This window comes from Homo sapiens, chromosome 8, assembly GCF_000001405.40.
Source record: "Homo sapiens chromosome 8, GRCh38.p14 Primary Assembly".
NCBI classification, from domain to species: Eukaryota; Metazoa; Chordata; class Mammalia; order Primates; family Hominidae; genus Homo; species Homo sapiens.
The window spans coordinates 95176434-95196527 of record NC_000008.11 but is presented as its reverse complement, the minus strand read 5'-3'; the positions used below and the strand labels follow the sequence as shown (position 1 = coordinate 95196527).

The 20094-nt window shown below is 43.6% G+C and overlaps 1 long non-coding RNA gene across 1 annotated transcript in view, besides 1 other annotated feature; it reads right to left on the bottom strand.

The window, feature by feature from the left end:
- Positions 1-8801: 8801 nt before the first annotated feature.
- LOC124901982 (uncharacterized) overlaps positions 8802-20094 on the bottom strand; it is a 29564-nt gene continuing 18271 nt past the window's right edge. Inside the window, exon 2 of the long non-coding RNA XR_007061015.1 lies at positions 8802-14516. This is a non-coding gene — a long non-coding RNA (uncharacterized LOC124901982). The remainder of the gene's footprint in view (positions 14517-20094) is intronic.
- Positions 15096-15195: an enhancer, noted in NCBI's record as "active region_27650". NCBI's record gives its function as "activates an Ori minimal core promoter by ATAC-STARR-seq in GM12878 lymphoblastoid cells {active_cell/tissue: GM12878}" and the evidence as "EXISTENCE:reporter gene assay evidence [ECO:0000049][PMID:35858748]".

The window sequence follows — 20094 nt, the reverse complement described above, 5'->3', positions numbered from 1 at the left end:
CCGCCCATGTTGCTGATGGCAACGAGTCAGATCTCCAAGAAAACAAGTTCAGTGGCAGAATCCAAGCGCTTAACTCGGCCACCATATTACATCTTTTATAGACGGAACCGAGGGGAGCTTTAGGAGAGGGATACAACCCGTCTCAGCAACAGAAAAAACCCATACCTGCCCTTGTAGGTAGCTGCTCTTGGCAGCAGAAACAGGTGTATCCTTTGAGATGGCCCCAAGGTCACCTCCAATCCCCCCTCAAGGTTCCAAGCTCAGTGACTGCTGGCCAAGGCAGCCAGCAGGTGGCCGTGGCAGAGCGGGTAAGGTGCTGTCCACTTTGCCTCCGTTTCCACCCAGACCAAGAGCACTGCCTCTTCTATGGGTGCAGGGGCAGAAATAAGAACTAGACCAGCAGCTCTGCATGATTAGTACTGGCAGTTCTAGTTATGACCCAGATTGGCATGGGGCCCACTGGGCTCCCACACCCAAATCCTGACAGGGAGCGAAGTAGAAGCAGAGTCCGGGCGGGTTGGAGGATCTGGCTGGTTCAGTCCATCAAAACCAAGTCAGCATCAGCCACCATTTGGAATTAACTCGACTTCCTCTCTTCCTACCACCCATGCAAAAGGCAAATTTTCAGAAACCCTATTTAAAGCTCTCCAAGCACTTTCAGTATATTTTGTAGAGTGTTTGGCAGTATATAATATTATTCCTTTTGCATGTAGTATTTTATTTATTCTTATATGAAGTCTGAGAGCATGAGGCCAGATCTCTATGAGGAAGATAGAGTGGAAAAGCCACCAGCACACAGCAAGGAAGATGGCAGAAAAAAAAATCCTAACCCAGATCTGACTGAGTGAGAAGGCCTGGCTCTTCCCACTACACCAAGCCAACTCCCCGCTGTGCTAATACCTCACAGGTGGTTCATTCATCCCGTAGAAGTTCCTGGGTGTACCAAGAAGCAGACGCAGAATTAGACATAGATCTCTGGGATCCCCTCACCCTCCCCTAATTGGCTGCCTGGCCCTTTGCCTCCCTCTTCCCTTCCTCCATCCCCTCCCTTCCTGGTAATTACCACTGGAGCAAATAAGTTAGGCCATTAGACACTCACCAACATTTGGTCAGCTTGCATCTAGCACTGGCAAGGCAGGGAGCAGCTGAAATGAGAGGGTTAGGCAACCCCGTCTCTACTGGGATTATAAATGTATAATTCTCTGCATTATCTTCAGCTTTTTTGTAGAGAAAGCATTTCACAAATAGGTCAGGCTTAGGGTGAGTCAGACAGATAGAAGCCATTCACATTTGCTGAGGTCAAGAAAACCAGGTGGAGAGAGACATTCTCAGCAGTTCCCTGTGGCCAGTGTGATCGTGGTCATGTGCAATTCTGGTGAAAGCTTTGCTTTGGGAAGTTTTCCCGGAAGCTGTCCAGAGGGCTCCAGGCACATAACTTTGAGAGCACCCCATATTTTTCTTTTTGATGGTAGAATTTGGGATTGGTTCACCAAGCTGCTCAGGTCCAGTCTCAAGAGATGCCCAGGCCCCCAGAGGTCATCAACTTCATACGTGGTCCTTATTCTTGAGGTGCCCTCCACCCTCACTGTGGTGCCCAGCCATCCTCCCTGGCACAGAAAAAAAGTAATACAGTAAAATGATGGCATGGTAAGATGTGCGTGTCACTCTTCCCAGAAATGATGCATCCACTTCAACAGAGGACACAGCACGGATGCGTAAGAACTGGTAACTGGCTTATTGACCATTCTGGACTCCTGGTTGTATAACTGGGTATTGCCTTTACCTTTCCTCTCACCCTGCCTTTCAGACCTTCCCTCTCGGTTTTCTCTTCCCCAGCTGGCTTGATATCTTGATAAGATCCCAAAACATTTTGGTCATTTTCAGATATTAACCAATGATGTTTATTTTTAGATATTAAAATTTGCAGGCCAATCTAAATGAAAACTTGAATCGCTTGGCCCATGCAGGTTTTATTCCCTCTCCTTCATCTTCCCCTATTTTCTACCTCCACGCCTGACCCGGAGTGCAAAAACCTGCCGTGAGGAGGGTCACGGTCTCTTCTTTGTCTCTCCCCACATTTCTACTCCTCCTCACATGTTTACCACCTGCTTCAGGCTCTCCAGGTTCAGGGCAGGGAGGAGAGATGTAAAACAAAGGATAAAAGTGTTCTTTAAATAAGTTGGTTGGTTTTCTTCTCTCTTCTGGCTTCGAGTTACCAGATTTTGCCAAAAAAAAAAAAAAATTAAAGGATGTCAAGTTAAATTGGAATGTCAGATAAACAACAAATACTCTTTTAGTATAAGAATGTCCCATGCACTACTTGGGCATCCTGTGTTTTCTCTAGCAGCGCTCCTCAGCTGCTGGCTGCCTCCAGAGCAGGGCAGGTGGATTCATTTCCCATGGCTGCTGGAATGAATTGTTTCAAACTCAGATGCATAAAATAACACACATTTGTTTTCTTGTAGTTCTGGAGGTCAGAAGTCTGAAATAGGTAAGCAGGGCTACACATTCCTTCCAGAGGCTCCGGGGGAGAATCCCTTGCCTTGCTTTTTTCAGCTTCTAGAAGGCACCTGCGTTCCTTGGCTTGTAATCCCTTCTCTATCTTCTAAGCCAGCAGCTTAGCATCTTCTCTCCTCTCTGACTTCTGCCTCCATCCTCATATCTTATAGCAACCTGTGACTCTCTTATCACAACCCTTCTTTCTTATAGCAACCCTGTGACTGCACTGGGACCACCCAGATCATTCAGGATTTTCTCACCTCCAGATCTTTAACTTAAACACATCAGCAAAGTCCCTCTGGCCAGGTAAAACAGTATATTCGGAGGTTCTGGGATTAAAATTTGAATATCTTTGGGGGGCTGTTGTTCAGTAACTGTCCGGGCAGGCTCTTTCCCTATCCCTCAAGGAGGGGATTTTTGTGGATTTTTGGAGACCTGCTTGCTGAGGATCCCCAGCGTGCCCCATTCTCTGATGTAAGCAGCATGGGCGATACCCTCTCCAGCTGACTTCCTACAATTCCTCAGCTCCTGCTTGTAGGTACCCCTCACCGGGGCTCTTTCTGCTGGGGTCTCCTCTCCTCGGCAGACAGAAATCTTGAGTGGAGTGCTTTCAAGTCCCTGGGGCCTGGATACCACCCAAGAGATCATGTCACCTCGGACCCCAAAGAAACATTCCAGCCCTGGCCCCAACAAATTGTGAAAGTGCATGCCACTCCCAAGTGTTTAATGCTCAGATTCGGGAGCCACAGTGGGGAGCCACAACAGGGAGTCGGCACATTCTTTCTCATTAAAGAAATCTGCTTTGAGCAATCTTTAGCCTTTGATTGGATCTAGGCTGGAGGTAGATGAAGTGCCAAGACCAGGACTTGCAGGACCAGTTGGAATACTTCTTAGCAAGTTCTGCCTGGAGGGTCTAGCACCTGTCTTTAAAATGTGTGTGTTGCGGGAAGAGAGGAGCATGGCAAGGGAGACTGCCTGTTGTTCTAAGCTTTGGGTTTCAGCCGGTACCCCCAGACAACCGGAAAAGTCTAGCTTATCCTTCTCAACAACAACAACAAAAAAAATCCAGAAGGTAAATTTGCAGTAAAGCACAGGTGTTACCTATCCCAGAGGTACTTATGTCTTAAAAAAGGAGAGGGCAATGATTGACTCAAATATATGGATCGCTAATGAAAAAACTCCCACATCAACAATAAATCCTCGCAGGAAACCCTGACTCTTCCCTGCATGCCTATACCTGGCCCTGCCTACCTGAACCAGGCATCAGCATTCTGCAGAGGAGCTGGGCCCTAAAACCCACCTGAGCTGACACAAAGAGCCCAACAATGCCAGGTGGAAGGCAGCATGAATGGTGCTGGGATGGCCCACGGGCTTGGTTTGCATGCCCACTCTTAGTCCATGCAGGCTGCTGCAACCAAATACCGTAACACGGTGACTTAAAGACAGCAGAAAAAATACTTCTCGCAGTTCTGGAGGCTGGGAGATCCAAGACCAAACACTGGTAGATTTGGTGTCTGGTGAGAGCCCACTTTCTGGTTCATAGATGGTGCTTCTTGCTGTGTCCCAACATGGTAGAAGGGACTAGGGGTCTCTCTGGGGCTCCTATGATAAGGGCACTAATCCCATTCAGGAGGGCTCCACTCCCATGACCTAATCACCTCCTAAAGCCCCCACCTCCTAATATCACCCTGGGAGTTAGGATTTCAGCATATGAATTTTGGGGGGAAACAAGCATTCAGATCATAGCCCCCACCCTGCAGGTTGGTGGTGGCTGGCTGTATTTGCAAGAGTACTAAGGCTGCCTCCTGATGCAGCAAGAAAGAGTGCCACAGTCAGTGCACAGCATCTGCCATGGCATGGGGGACAGAGCAGTGGCTTGAGGCCCTCTGTTGCCACAGAGTCAGTCTTGGGTGTGAATCCTGGCTCCCTCACTTACAATTGCATGACACTGGGGGAGTTGCTTAACCTCTGGGCACCCATTTCTATAAACTGATAAAACCTATCTATGATATAGGGTTCTAAGGAAGTTTGAACAAAGTGATGTTTACAGAGCACTTGGGGCCTAGTTGCACCCAAGAAATGTCATTTCCCTTCTTTCCACATCTAAAATGCCCACATGGCAGCGTTTTGGGGTAACTTTTCTTGGTGGCTATATATTGGTGGGCATAGAAACAAGGAGGAGTACTTACCATTTAAACTCTACATCACACAGATGCAAACCCATCTGTCACCGAGGACAGAGGCATCATTAAATTAATCACTAGCCCTTCCCGGGTGTGACAAAATTCCTCTGGCATTGTTTTTTGGGTGTGCCTGCTAGTGGGAATTCTGCAGAGACAGGTTTTCAGCTTCTAAAAGTCAGGTGGTGGTTTTGTTGTGAGATAATATCACCCTCTCCATACTACACACACACACACACACACACACACACACACACTCACTCACTCATACACACTTCCTGGAGGCCAGGGGGAGGGAAGCAGGAACTGGAGCCCACCCCTCATCCCCCAGGACATCTGCACAAAGCATGGCTTCATGGAAATCTTTTTGGCTTGCTCAAGAGAAGCCATTTCAACCTGACTTCAGATCAGCCTTTGCCTTCTCTTATTAATATTTGGTTCTAGACCAGGCACTTCTGTTGCATCTTTTCATTATATCTTCCAGCAACCCCATGAATTTGGCATTTTATTATACAGATTTGCAGACAGAAAACTGGGGCATAAAGAAGTGCTAATCTGAGGTCCCAGTGCCTGCACCGGAGCTGGATCCAGGTCTATACCCCGGGGCCTCTGTTCTCCCCTTGGGAGAGCCGCTCAACCATCCACCTGCATGTCACCCTGATACAAGTTTGTAAATAGCTTGAAGTACATTGGGAACTTCTCCCCTCCTAAAGGTGACTGAGAGCTTTGTAAGGTGTCTTTCCCTCCACCTCAAGCACTTCAAAAACGCAGAAAGAGCGTTCACTTGCACCCATCTGCTGACATCCCAGTCCTCCACTCGGGCAGGTGGGCCATCACTTTACCCAGCCGGCGGGGACCACAGCCACAGAATGAGACCGGCAGGATCCAGGAGGTAGCGAGTGGACAGTGCAGGTTTCTGCAGTCCCTCTCCCTGCTCAGGAGACACAGGAGACACAGCAGAGGCAGCACCCAGGGCACATCTGAAGGTGTGGGCCAGGGCTGCCAGCTGCCCTCTCCCTTTATAGTTCTGAAGGCCCCAGAAAGCCATCTCCACAAGAGGCAGACAGGAAGGGCTCATGCCTTCAGGGGAGCCAGAATAAAGTGCTGACTCATAGTCAGGTGTGAGGAGAGCTCAAGAGGGGTGCGGGTTGGGGATGCAGCTTTGCAAGCATGGAGGTGCTAATCCCGTGTGCACCACTTGGCCCTCCCAGAGACCCAGGGGAAGGTGACGGATTAAGCTCTACATTAAGCTCCTGAAAGAGAACAAATGCTGTCCTGGAGTTTCCAGGCTAAAAGGAGGCCCTGAACCTGAATGGTCACCATAACACCAACAGCTCACAACGGAACAGCCCTTGACCCTTGCCAGGGTGTTTCATAACACAAGCTCAAGCCAGAAATCATGGTGAATCTGTGTCCTCTGCCTTTGTTCATCTTCTGTACCAGCCCAACAAGCACGTGTTGGTTGAATGAGTTCATGGGAATTAATGAGACCCTCACAATGAACCAGAAGATGGTCAGAGTTACAAATTCATGCGTACACATGATAAGGGGGGAAGAAGTGACATTTGTTGGAGGCAAGAGTACCACATTTAGCAAAGAAAACTATAAGATTTCCAGTAAATGTGAATTTCAGAAAAAGAGCAAATAATTTTTTTGTCTTTTTTATGTTAGATTTACTGTGCTCTTCTACCGAAACAAATAATTTTTTTAGTGTAAGAATGTTCTGTGAATATTTGGGGTATATTTATACTAAAAATGCCTGTCGTTTATCTGAAATTCAGATGTAACTGGGTGTCCTGCATTTATCTGGTGACCCCAGTTGGGGGTCTACTGTGCATCAGATGCTGTCTGCACATCTCTCCTTCTGTCCTCATACAGCACTGGGAGGGAGCGAATATTAGTTATGTTGACCCGACTGTATGGATGAGCAAAAGGATACATTGAGAGGTAACCTGATTTGCTTAAGGCACCACAGTTCAGAAAGGCTGGGTGGGCACTGGAAACTTGAGCCTGTGATCTCCCTGTCAAGGGCTGCTTCCCCAGCCCTTCTTTTTTGGTGGGAAGGGGATTTGTAAACCGAGAAGAGGCTGTGGTTGGCGCTGAGCTGTGGGGGATCCCACATCATTATGGCCAGGAGCGCAGGCACATGAGCCAAGTCCACCAGCATTCCTGTGGGCAACACCACACAGGCAGGTGGGGCACAGGCCTGAGGCCCCTGCCACCACAGTTCACAATGAGTGCCTTTGTACCCAAGTGGTTTAGGGTCCTGTGTGGAATGCCTGGATGCTACACCAATAATAACAACCTCAATAATAGTAATAATAATAATATAGTGACAACAATAACAATAGGTCATATGTTTCAGGCATATAACTCTTTGTATCCATTACCTGTTCAATCCCCACCACCACCAAAAAACATTAATCTTATTAGTATTGCTAATAGCTACCACTTGTTAAGTATGACCATGTGCCAGACCTACACCGATATTTTGTGTTATTATCTCATTTAACACAAACGACAATCTTTTTTTTTTAGGGTGTTTTTTTTTTAAATTTTATTATTATTATACTTTAAGTTTTCGGGTACATGTGCACAATGTGCAGGTTAGTTACATATGTATACATGTGCCATGTTGGTGTGCTGCACCCATTAACTGGACATTTAGCATTAGGTATATCTCCTAATGCTATGCCTCCCCCCTCCCCCCACCCCACAACAGTCCCCGGTGTGTGATGTTCCCCTTCCTGTGTCCATGTGTTCTCATTGTTCAATTCCCACCTATGAGTGAGAACATGCGGTGTTTGGTTTTTCTGTCCTTGCGACAGTTTGCTGAGAATGATGGTTTCCAGTTTCATCCATGTCCCTACAAAGGACATGAACTCATCATTTTTTATGGCTGCATAGTATTCCATGGTGTATATGTGCCACATTTTCTTAATCCAGTCTATCGTTGTTGGACATTTAGGTTAGTTCCAAGTCTTTGCTATTGTGAATAGTGCCGCTATAAACATACGTGTGCATGTGTCTTTATAGCAGCATGATTTATAATCCTTTGGGTATATACCCAGTAATGGGATGGCTGGGTCAAATGGTATTTCTAGTTCTAGATCCCTGAGGAATCGCCACACTGACTTCCACAATGGTTGAACTAGTTTACAGTCCCACCAACAGTGTAAAAGTGTTCCTATTTCTCCACATCCTCTCCAGCACCTGTTGTTTCCTGACTTTTTAATGATCGCCATTCTAACTGGTGTGAGATGGTATCTCATTGTGGTTTTGATTTGCATTTCTCTGATGGCCAGTGATGGTGAGCATTTTTTCTGTGTTTTTTGGCTGCATAAATGTCTTCTTTTGAGAAGTGTCTGTTCATATCCTTTGCCCACTTTTTGATGGGGTTACAAACAACAATCTTATCAGGGAAGTACCATTATCCATGTGTCAGATGAAGGTCAGAGAAGTTAAGAAATGTGCCCAAGATCACACAGCCATCACAAATCAAACCTAGGTCTGCCTTATTCAGAGGCCTGCTGCCTTCTGCTTCTCCACCAAACCCTGGTGGGATCTCAAAGAGGCCGCTGGAGCTCTTACCAAGGCAGTTTGTCCCTATTGAGGGCAGGGAGTTGGAATAGGGCAATGACAGTTCCAGCCTGCTCTTCCACACCCCTTCACCCAGACCAAGGGATCTGTGTCAAAACACACCTTGCTTCCCCTTGGGCAAATCCATCCTGGAGTAAAACTTAATAAGTCTGTGGCCCATAATGCCACTAGTTTGTAAATTCTCACAGGGAGTGCCCCTGCCTTTCCCATGATTGCTGGCCCCTTCCTTACATAAGCCAGGCTAGTGAGGGCCTGTCATGGGTCTCGTGGCCACCTTCCCATTGAGGTCAATTTCCAGCTCCATGCCCTATGGCCTGGTTGGATTAATGAGCAAAATGATATGACCAAGAACCCATAGGTTTCCTGCAAATTAGAAACCAATGTGTCAATCTTCCCAAATTAATTTATGGCTTCATTAATTTCATTTAAAATTCGAATGGGATATTTTTAGTGAAATCTCACAAATTTGGAAGAATAAACAAGAAATGTAGGGGGAAAATAGTATTGATTAGTGACTGGTACTTCTTCCTTTTAATATTTATTAAATTAAAACTGCAAGTATAAGCAAGTCATAGGCAGACACATTAACAGAGCAGAATTAAGAATCTAGAAATGTATCTTATACAAAGAACTTGACACACGATAAAGGGTACACTTCAGATCAACAGTGAAGTGATGAATTATTTAACAAAAGGTTGTGAGGAAATGAAAACTTGGAAAAATACTAATTTAAAATACCATGTCACTTTACAATCAAAACCCTTCCAGGTAATTGTCAAAATGTAAAAAAATAAAAATAAAAATAGAAAAGGGAAGAACTACATAAGCATAAAAGAAACCACAAAGAAAATGATCAATTAATTTAACCACCACCAACTTAAAATTCGTATATGGCAAAATGTTAACAGTAACTCAGAATTTGCACGCTTGGCCAATTATCTCCTTAGGATGCAGTCAGATGACAGGACTCTCTAAGTCAATGAATACACCTATTTCCATGGTAACACATGCTGGCAAGCTGCCCTCCAGAAAGTCTGAACCAATTACACCCCCAGCAACAGTTTCTTTGAGCCCACTGCTCTCCACACTGACCATACCTGATAACTGAACCTACCATCACCACCAACCTGGCAGCAAATCGTGGACTACATGGTTTTAATCTGTATTCCTTTCATTATGAGTGAGAATGACTATATTTTCACATACTTATTTCTCATTTGTTTTTTCTTCTATGAACTGCCTCTTTATATCTTTTGATCACTTTTTAATTAAATAACTTGTCCTTGTCAAATTAATTTGTAAATTTCTTTTGTATTATAGAGATATTAACCCAATGTCACATGTATGGTTAACATTTTTTTAGTTTATCATTTGTACTTCAACTTTGTTCATTCCCCTTTTTTTGTGTTTTTTTTTTCTTTTTTTGAGACAGAGTCTTGCTCCGTCACCCAGGCTGGAGTGCAGTGGCACCATCTCGGCTCACTGCAAGCTCCGCCTCCCAGGTTCACACCATTCTCCTGCCTCAGCCTCCTGAGTAGCTGCGACTACAGGCGCCCGCCACCACACCCAGCTAATTTTTTGTATTTTTAGTAGAGATGGGGTTTCACCATGTTAGCCAGGATGGCCTCGATCTCCTGACCTCGTGATCTGCCCGCCTTGGCCTCCCAAAGTGCTGGGATTACAGGCGTGAGCCACCGCGCCCGGCCTGTTCATTACTCTTAATATGCAAAAGGACTTTTAGAAAATGTTACTTATGTGAATCTATAAAATATTTTATAGTTGCTTTTTGGTATCATGACTTACGCACTTTAAGGCTAAAAATAATCACCTATATTTTAGCATTTTATGGTTTCATTTTTCATATTTGAATTTTTTATTATCTTCCATTTATTTTGGTATAAAAATATGAGATAAGGATCCAGCTTTATGGTTTTCCTATTAATAAACAGTTGCTCTGGTTGGGCGCGTGGCTCACGCCTGTAATCCCAGCACTTTGGGAGGCCGAGGCAGGCAGATGGCTTGAGCTCAGGAGTTTGAGACCAGCCTGGGCAACATGGCAAAACCCTGCATCTACAAAAAAGGCAAAAATCAGCCAGGCATGGTGGTGTGCGCCTGTAGTCCCAGCTACTTGGGAGGCAGAGGTGGGAGGATCACTTGAGCCCAGGAGGTTGAGGCTACAGTGAGCCAAGCTTATACCACTGAACTCCAGCACGGAGAGAGACCCTGTTTCAAAAACAAACAAACAAAAAAAGACAATTACTCCAAATATTTGAAATGCCCCCTCTATCAGATACTAAATTCTGATATATATATTTATATGCAAATGTACCCACACATATACATGCATACTCACACACTCACTCACTTGGATCTTTCTGAACTAACTTGCTCGATTGACCTGTCTTTTCCTGTATCAGTATCATACACACTTAGTATAGCTTTGTGTTAATATGTGGTAGTCATTCACTACAATGGCAGGCTTAGAACAAAAAATAATAATAATAATAATATTTACTGGGAGGAGTACCTCCATTTTACTTGCCTTTTCCATAATGGTCCTGGCTATTCTCATGCTGAGTTTTAGAATTCACTTGGAATCCCTTAGGGATTCCTTTTGAGATTACATAGGATTTAGAGATCTGTTGGAGAATGTGCCTCTTTCTGACATTGCATCTTCCCATCCAGTAACAAGATTTGTCTCTCAGTTCATTCTAGTCTTACTTCTCTCAGAACTGGTTCATAAAGATTTGATTTGACTTTGTTTTGCTTTTGACTTTGGTTACATGTATTCCTAGGTGTTTTATTTTATTGCTGCTGATGTGAATGGAATATATTTTTCATTTTACTTTTAAGTGGTTTTGCTGATATATAAGAAACTCTAAGTTTTTATGTATTATTTTAAATATATATTAAATATATGATTTTTAAATATTTGTTCTACATATTTTCATATACTTATATATTTATTTTGTACAGTCTATTGAACTATATTATGTCTAAAATTTTTTAGGATTCTCTTTGTAAGCAATCATATTATCTTCAAGTGAAGATAATTTGGCCTCTTTCTTGTCAGTGTTTAGACATCTTGTTTAATTATCTTGCTCGTTGTGTTGACTAGGATTTTTAGAACAAGAAAATAATGATGACACTCATCTTTTTAGACTTTAATGTGACTATGTTTAATTAAACATAATGCTGACTATTAGTTCGAGATTTTTTTAAATCACAGAAATTTTCATATGACTTTTCAGTATCAAGATAATCATACAGGGTTTTTATATAAGGTTGATTATATTAATAGATTTCCAAACATGTTCTAATCTCTACATTCCTGAAATGAATTTCAACTGGTCATGATACATTTCTTAAACCATATTGCTGGATTCTATTGTCAATATTTTGTTTGATATTTTTCATCAAGGTCTATAAGTGAGATTGAGATATAGGGCTTATGTGTGTGCTCTGTGTGCTATTGTTTCTGTCTTGTGCAATTAAAGTGTGTGCCATGTTTTTTTGTTCAGGAAAATGCTTACACTGTAATGTAGATTTAGTATTTGACTTTATATGCATAGCAAAAAAACAAAGGGCATCATAATAGCAACACTGGTTATCTGAGTGGTGGCATTAAAAGTGTTTTTCCTTCAATTCTATAATATCCGAGTGTTATGTTTATAACAAAATGTTTGAAATACATACCATTAAAAGAGGCTCCATAGAAATATATTAGCAGTTATCACTAGGAAGGGGAAATGAGGCACGATATTGACCTTCTTCATCCTCTTGTAAATCTCTTTAGCTATCAGCACTTCCCCCTTCCTGCCCATCTCCCCGCTCTGCTGAACCCAAAATAAAAGTACATATTACATAAAATATAATTCCTTTTTTAAATGCTACAAACTCAAGTCTTCTTAAATCATAATAAGCCAGTACAAACAGATCCAAATGATTCCCAGATACAATGAACAGGAAATTCTGTGGCTACGGAGTACTAGCAAGATAGAGAAGGCTGTTAGCTCTAAACATTGCATTTTCGAAACTAGAGTCAGGTATAAGCCATGCCTTTGCTCCTATGAAAGCAGACTATTTGTCTAGGGATCTAAGCAAAACTAGGAGGTATTGCTTCTATAGAAAGTGAGCATTTTAGGTTGTGTGGAACAAGAAGGATTTTAAACAGCCTACAGCCACACTGATGCACCTGCAGCTTCATGCCACACACCTGCAGCCTCGCACGATGTAGCTGTGTCCTCACACAATGCACCTGAGACCTTACACAATGCACCTGGGACTTCATGCAATGCACTAGGACATAGATAGTGGCATCTTTTTTCCAAAGTTCCCTAAGCACTTTGACTAAACTTCCTTAAGATGTTTTTTAAAATGTTGACATGAGTCATAAAAAGCAAAACTTTTTCTTTCTTGGGCATATTCCACTTTAACCAAATGATAAAGTTATTCCTCAACCGAAGACAAGGGTAAGGCTTGGACTGGGAGTGCTCTCTGGCTCCTGAAGACATTTCATCAGCCCACCAGAGGGCTGCACTGATGATTAAAGGAGAAAAATTAATCGCTCAGTCCGCAAAAGACTATGTTTTTTCCCATCTCTACAGGACATCAGAGCTTGTCCATTCATTGCTGTTGGGCCAACTACAAAAGGTATAACACAACAATTTTTCTTCCCAAGGACTTCACAGTCTGGGCAAGAGACAGATTTTTAAAAGCAATTCCACTGAGATGAGGACTCACAGAAAGACTCGTACAGGGCATGATGAGAGCGCAGAGGATGGGCCCCTACCCAGCTTCTCCAGGAGCCCCTCCCCAGAGGAGCTGGTGCTCAGGCTGAAAAAACACATGGAGATGGTGAGGCCAGGAAGGCCCAATACAGAGCTCAGAACCCCAGCCCTTGGGGGAACTGTGCCCACTGTATTTCCTCAATTCTAAGATGCTGTGGATTATAAACCACATGGTGGACTTCTCAACCATTTAGCCTTGTACCGGCACAACCCCAAGAATGGGCATCTCCTTCCTTTTGCACCCCAGGTATCTCATTCACCTCTCCTGAGTCCTGTCCTTGTTTAAATTATGCATTTTTAAAGGCTTTATGTTTTAAAGCATTTTAGATTCACAGCAAAATTAAGAGGAAGATACAGAGATTTCCCATCTATTCCCTGCCCCAAACACACACAGCCTTCCCATTATTAACACTCCCCGCTCTGCCCCAGAGTGTTACAGTTGTTACAATTGATGAACCTACATTGACACATCATAATTACCTAGTTTACATTAGGGTTCATTCTTGTTGGTGTACTTTCTACGGGTTTGGGCAAATTTATAACGACATGTATCATCCACCGTTATTGTATCATACAGAGTAGTTTTATGGCTCTAAAAATCCTCTGTACTCAACTGTCAATAGCATACATTTATCAAAACACTAATACATCACTTTCTTCTTTAGTATCATAATCAACATTTAAGTCTTAGCCTGCTTTGTATTCTGCATCTGGAGATCCTTGGGAATAATACTGGATCATCAGTAGCTTTGCAAAACATCCTCGGTGGCACACTGCTTTCCATAACCAGGACTTGTGCCCTTGACCTCTAAAATACTTCAAAATATGAGTTCAAGGCCTGCACAAGAATCCTAAGTTTGCCTGCATTTTCTAGTTCCCCTTGAAGTTTCTTCTTTCTTTAGTGGGATTTCACATTACGGAAATTACATGACTTCTCCTGAAAGTCAACAGGAAGTTTTTGACAAACTGTCCATTACTCTAACTTTCTGAATTTTGGAAATTCCGGGATCTGTCCTGAGAGATTTGGCCATCTTTACTGCCATCAGTTCCACTGCCTGGTGTGTGCAAGCCATCTTCTGAAATTTCAATGCTACATCATTGTGTGACCTTTTTGAAGATATTAGGTAATAATTAAGATTCTAAATTTAAGTTAAAATGTAGTCATTCAGGCCAGGCGAGGTGGCTCACACCTGTAATCTCAGCAATTTGGGAGGCTGAGGCAGGTGGATTGCTTGACTTCAGGAGTTTGAGACCAGCCTGGGCAACATGGCAAAACCACATCTCTGAAAAAAGACAAAAATTCACCAGGCACAGTGGTGTGTGCCTGTAGTCCCAGCTACTTGGTAGGCAGAGGCAGGAGGATCACTTGAGTCTGGTAGGTCACGGCTGCAGTGAGGTGAGGTGAGATCATGCCACTGCACTCCAGCCTGGATGACAAAGTAAGACCCTGTCAAAAAAACAAAACAAAACAAAACAAAACAGTCATTCAAGATGCTGTCTAAACAAATAACTCAGTGAGGTGCACATGGGATAAGCAGATAAGCCAAGCCAGGCCAAGGTCACAGGTATACAGAGGCCAAGCTTTATTAAAACACACTTATTCCCTGTTCCCTGCCTGGACAGAAAACAGGACACATCAAAATACTGCCACTGTAGATCCCCAAGCCACAAACAAGCCATCAAGCTGCATCTCTGGCTCCCATTGCAATGCCTTGCTGGGGTTAGATGTTCTTTGTCAGTGGCCCGAGCCAACTTCCCTTTGCAAAGCAGTCACACCATGAAGCTGGCGGTACGAGACACCATGTGACCGGGGGCTTGTTTTATTTCCAAGCTGCCACTATCACGAGATCTGCCACTGTTGAATTGCTTCATCTCCTTCATCCCAACTTCGTGCTTTCATGTGAGTGTCACTGTCCTATCCTCCCCATTGTCTGCCAGAGTGCTGAGGAAGAAATGCTCCCTCCAGCTTTGAAGAGTCATTTCAGAAGGCATAGTCCACGGTTCCCCGAAAGCTGAAGGTGGAGGCATTTATAGACACATCCACTTGGCAGAGGGCCTTTGTTGTGGGCGAGGAGGAAGTGGTAACCCCCGGACGGCTGGGCCCCCTCCATGTGACTCGGCTATCACCTGCCATCAGCCAGTTGGCGGGAATGGGATGCAAACCACCATCCTTTGGGGGAGAAGCCAGGATACAACTTCCCGGCTGCAGCCTTATTTTGGTGTCACACTCCAGAGGCCTCCTGGCCGCAACCATAACCCATGTTATCCCAGCGGCTACACTTGGGTACCTCCCAGCATCGCTGGCGTTTCCCTCTTGCTTGTTTGACCTCTTGGAAATGTTCTTAAATACACTCTTGAACCCCAAGCAAGTCACCGAGTCTTGCTCTCTTTGTTTTTCTTTTATTACATGGCAGGGATATCATTAGTGTTAAAATTCTGAGTTTCTATTTCCTTAGAATCTTTCCTGAGATTCTACATTTCCTTAGAATGACCCAGTTTCAATGGTGGAAGGATGTTCGATATCATCTGATTTCCTAAGGGAAAATTTTCACAGGAAAAAGGCTGAAAACTCTATATAAAATTCTTAGAATTGGCAGCATAAATTTTAATGAGGAAGCAGCGCCTTGTGTAGACAGAACTTTCACCAGGAATAGCAAGGCCCCTGACTCTCAGGCTAACTGTGGGGCCGCGAGCTCTCTGCTCCTGTGTTAACTCAACTCACCCAAAAACTAGGAGGTGAGGCAGCCTAGCAGTCAGGAATGTGGGCTTCGGGGTCAGACCAATATGGGTTTAAGACATGGTTCAACCAGTTATAAACCATGTAAACTTGCATGAGTGACTTGACCTTGTTAAGGCCTTGGTTCCTTCATCTGTAAAGTGAGGACATAAGAATTTGCACAAGTTAGTTAACCCCCTTAAGTCTTCGGTTCCTGCAGATGTAGACTGATTGTACCTAACCTCTCTTTCTCTAGCTCTGTCTCTCTTGACTCTCATATAAACACACTTACGCATCTCCTATCTTAAAAATATAAGAAAGGCATCAGCAAATAAACTCCTCTTTGACCTTTGTCCCTCTCTAGCTACTGTCCCATCTCTCTGCATCCCTTCTGTCTAAACATCTGAGGAGAGGGTAGATACTTCCCATTCCTTTATCAGTTTCATCCAAAGACATTATAGCTTTTCACATTGGACTATTTCTAAAATTGGACTGTGTATCTTTTGCACTGGTAACAACTCCAAATTTCAGTGGCTTAAAACACAATGGCGGATTTCCTGCTCATGCAACATGCCTATCACAGTCCACCAGGATTCTGCTCTGTGTCATTCCCAGAAGATTACCAGTGACTGTGGCAGGAGAACAGAGCACCCTGGAGGGTCTCACAACACCCACTAAATGCTCTGGCCCTGGCCCAGAGTGGCACCTGCCACTATTCACAGCTCTTTGGCCAGAACCAACCAGAATTCCCCTGACCCCACCCAACTGTTAAGTGCAACCCCACAGTGCAGTATTTGGCAAACCACACAAATGGTCTTCAGCTACATTATTATAACAGCAAATAGACTGTAGACAATCAGCTGTGTTATAGCTTCAGTATGCTTTTGTGGGCTAGCTTGGAAACCTGACCACTATTCAAAACAGTGTTCCTATGAGAAAACACGTGCCAAAATCCAAGCTGCTGACTTATAAAACAAGCTGGAACACAATCTGTTAGTAAGTTGAGGCTTCTTATACTTAAGAAATTATTTTTGAAACATGGCCCCAGAATTTGACAGGCTGGATTGAATTATTCAGCCATAGCTATGAGATCCAGAACAAGCTACATAATTTGTGGGGCCCAATGGTGGGGAACCTTGTTCAAAAAGCAGGGGGAAAATGCAGTTAAAGTTACTAAAATATAAAGCTTTTTTCTTTCTCCAAAAGTCTCTCTCTTGATTTATCATAGTGATTTTATTTGCTATTTAGGCTGAGCATGGTGGCTAATGCCTGTAATCCCAACACTTTGGGAGGCCAAGGCAGGAGGATCGCTTCAGCCCAGGAGTTCAAGACCAGCCTGGGCAACATAGCAGGATCCTGTCTCAAATATTTTTTAACAAATAATATGATCAAAAAATTGCTATTTATTGTTGTTCTCAGTAAAGGTAAATTTTTAAATGATTAGAATGAACTGTTCTGTTCATTTTTATATTGTGCAATGCCAGGTTTAAATGCAAAGATAAGAGCATCTTACACACTTCCTATTTCAGAGTTGGTACATGCACATGTAGTTAATTCTTTTTAAGAGACAAGGTCTCACTCTGTTGCTCAGACTGGAGTGCAGTGGCACAATTTTGTCTCACTGCAGTCTCAGACTCCTGGGCTCAAACGATCCTCCTGCCTCAGCCTACTAAGCAGCTGGAACTACAGGCACCCACCACTGCACTGAGCCAGTTTTGTTTTGTTTTGTTTTGTTTTGTACAATCAGGGTCTTGCTTCGTTCCCCAGGCTGGTCTCGAACTCCTGGCTTCAAGCGATCCTCCCACTTCAGCCTCCCAAAGTGCTGATATTGTAGGTGTGAACCACTGAACCCAGCCTGTAGTTCATTTTTTTTTTTTTTTTTTTTTTTAGACAAAGTCCTGCTCTGTCACCTAGGCTGGAGTGCAGTGGCGCAATCTCGGCTCACTGCAAGCTCCACCTCCCAGGTTCACGCCATTCTCCTGCCTCAGCCTCCTGAGTAGCTGGGACTACAAGCGCCCACCATCACGCCCAGCTAGTTTTTTTGTATTTTTAGTAGAGACGGGGTTTCACCATGTTAGCCAGGATGGTCTCTATCTCCTGACCTCGTGATCTGCCCGCCTTGGCCTCCCAAAGTGCTGGGATTACAGGCGTGAGCCACCGTGCCTGGCCAGTTCATTCTTAACAGAACAGTGGAACTGCTGCACCAAACTAACTCAACTAATTTCAGCTCACTTCCTAATACAAATCAGAGAACTAACATTCTACTTTCAGCTTACTGACAAGGAAGGAAGGGGTAAAGGAAAAGGTACTATTGGTTGCAGTATCTTTCCCTCTCCTATGTCATTTTCAGTGTTAGTGGTTGGCTAATACAGAAAAGGAACAGGAGTAAGAGCAGATGATAGGATTCCTTGATCATTTGTGTTTCTGGCTTTATTTCTATGTTCAAAGCAAATTCTGATTCAGACAAAAAGCACGGGCTCTTAGCCTGTGACAGCCCCTGCTGACTCAGGCATAGGCATAACACCCTTACTTTTGTTAAAACAAAAAAAAGGAGACAAATTAAATTTGGCAGTGTTTATTTAAGCAAAGAACAATTCATGAATTGAGCAGCAGTCTGAACCAGGAGGGGTTCAGAGAGCTCCACCCAGCAGTGCAGGCAGGCAGTATCTACAGACAGAGAAAGAAAGTGATGTACAGAAACAGTAGATCGATTGCTTACAGCTCTGCATCGCGTTATATGGACATGGTCTGATCAGCCGGCAGCCTGTGATTGGCTGAAGTTTAGCTGCTGTGATTGGCTAAGACTTAGTTATTTGTTATAAGAATACACTCCTTAAGTTAGGTTACAATTTGTTTACTTACTAAGTTACACTGGAGTTTGCTATGTACAGATACAGCTTTAGGTCAAATTTAATTTAACACCTTGTACCTGCTTTGAGTCTCACTAAACTCCCACAGATTGTGGGTCCACTAGATTTTTGTGTTCCTGGGGTGTCATGAATGTTATATGCAAATGGAGTGGCAAAGAACAGAATTGGACACTCACATTACATGTGTCTCTCTCTCACCTGTGTGTTTGGTTATCCCATTAGATTTCACTTATAAAGCAGAAGTTCAAAGAAAAAAATATTAAGAATTTTTGGCAGTGACAGCAGAGCATTAAGCCAAGTACAGGACCCTTTTGAGTCCCTCTGCAACTGCACAGCATACTCCCATGATGACAACCATATCTTCTAATCCTTAACCCTGCCACAAAATCAACTAGACCCATATTTGGCAACCAGACCTCTGAGTAACATTGGACTAAGAGGTATGAAGTGGGCTTGAGCTATAGGGCCTGCCATCATTCATTCATTCCACAAGTATTTATTGAGCATCTATGAGGTGCCAGGCAGTGATTTAGGTGTTGAGATTACAACACAGGCTGGGTGCAGTAGCTCACACCTGTAACGCCAGTACTTTGGGAGGCCGAGGCGGGCAGATCACTTGAGATCAGGAGTTCAAGAGCAGCCTAGCCAACATGGTGAAACCCCGTCTCTACTAAAAATACAAAAATTAGCCAGGCATGATGGCACACGCCTGTAGTCCCAGCTACTTGGGACACTGAGACAGGAGAATTGCCTGAACCTGGGAGGCAGAAGTTGCAGTGAGCCAAGATTGCGTCACTGCACTCCAGCCTGGGTGACAGAGTGAAACATCATCTCAAAAATAATAATAATAATAATAAACACAAACAAAAAGCCCTCAGCCTAATGAAGCTTACTCTCTAGCAGGAGAGAGAGATGATAATAAAGAAAATGTTTAAATAAAATAAATAGTATGTTAGATGGTGATAAATGGTAAGGAAGAAAAAAATAAACAAGGGGTAGAAAGGATTGAATTGGGGGTACAGCTTTAGATGTTAATGTCTTAATGCTTTTACAGCCATTTACCAAAACAGATGGTCAATGAAAAGGGTCAAAATCTGTAACACGTTTTAAGAAATTTATTCTGAGGCAAATATGAGTGACCAATGGCCTGTAACACCACTCTCAGGAGGTCCTGAGAACATGTGCCCGAGGTAGTAGGGCCACAACTTGGTTTTATACATTTTAGGAAGACATAGGCATCAATACATGTAAGATATACATTGGTTTGGTCCAGAAAGGTGGGACAACCGGAAGGGGTTGCGGTGGGGAGGTGGGGCTTTGAAGTCACAGGCAGATTCAAAGATTTTCTGATTGGCAATTGGTTGAAAGAGTTATCAATAGAAAGGAAAGTCTGAGTTACAATAAGGGGTTGCAGAGACCAGTGTTTTGTCATGCAGATG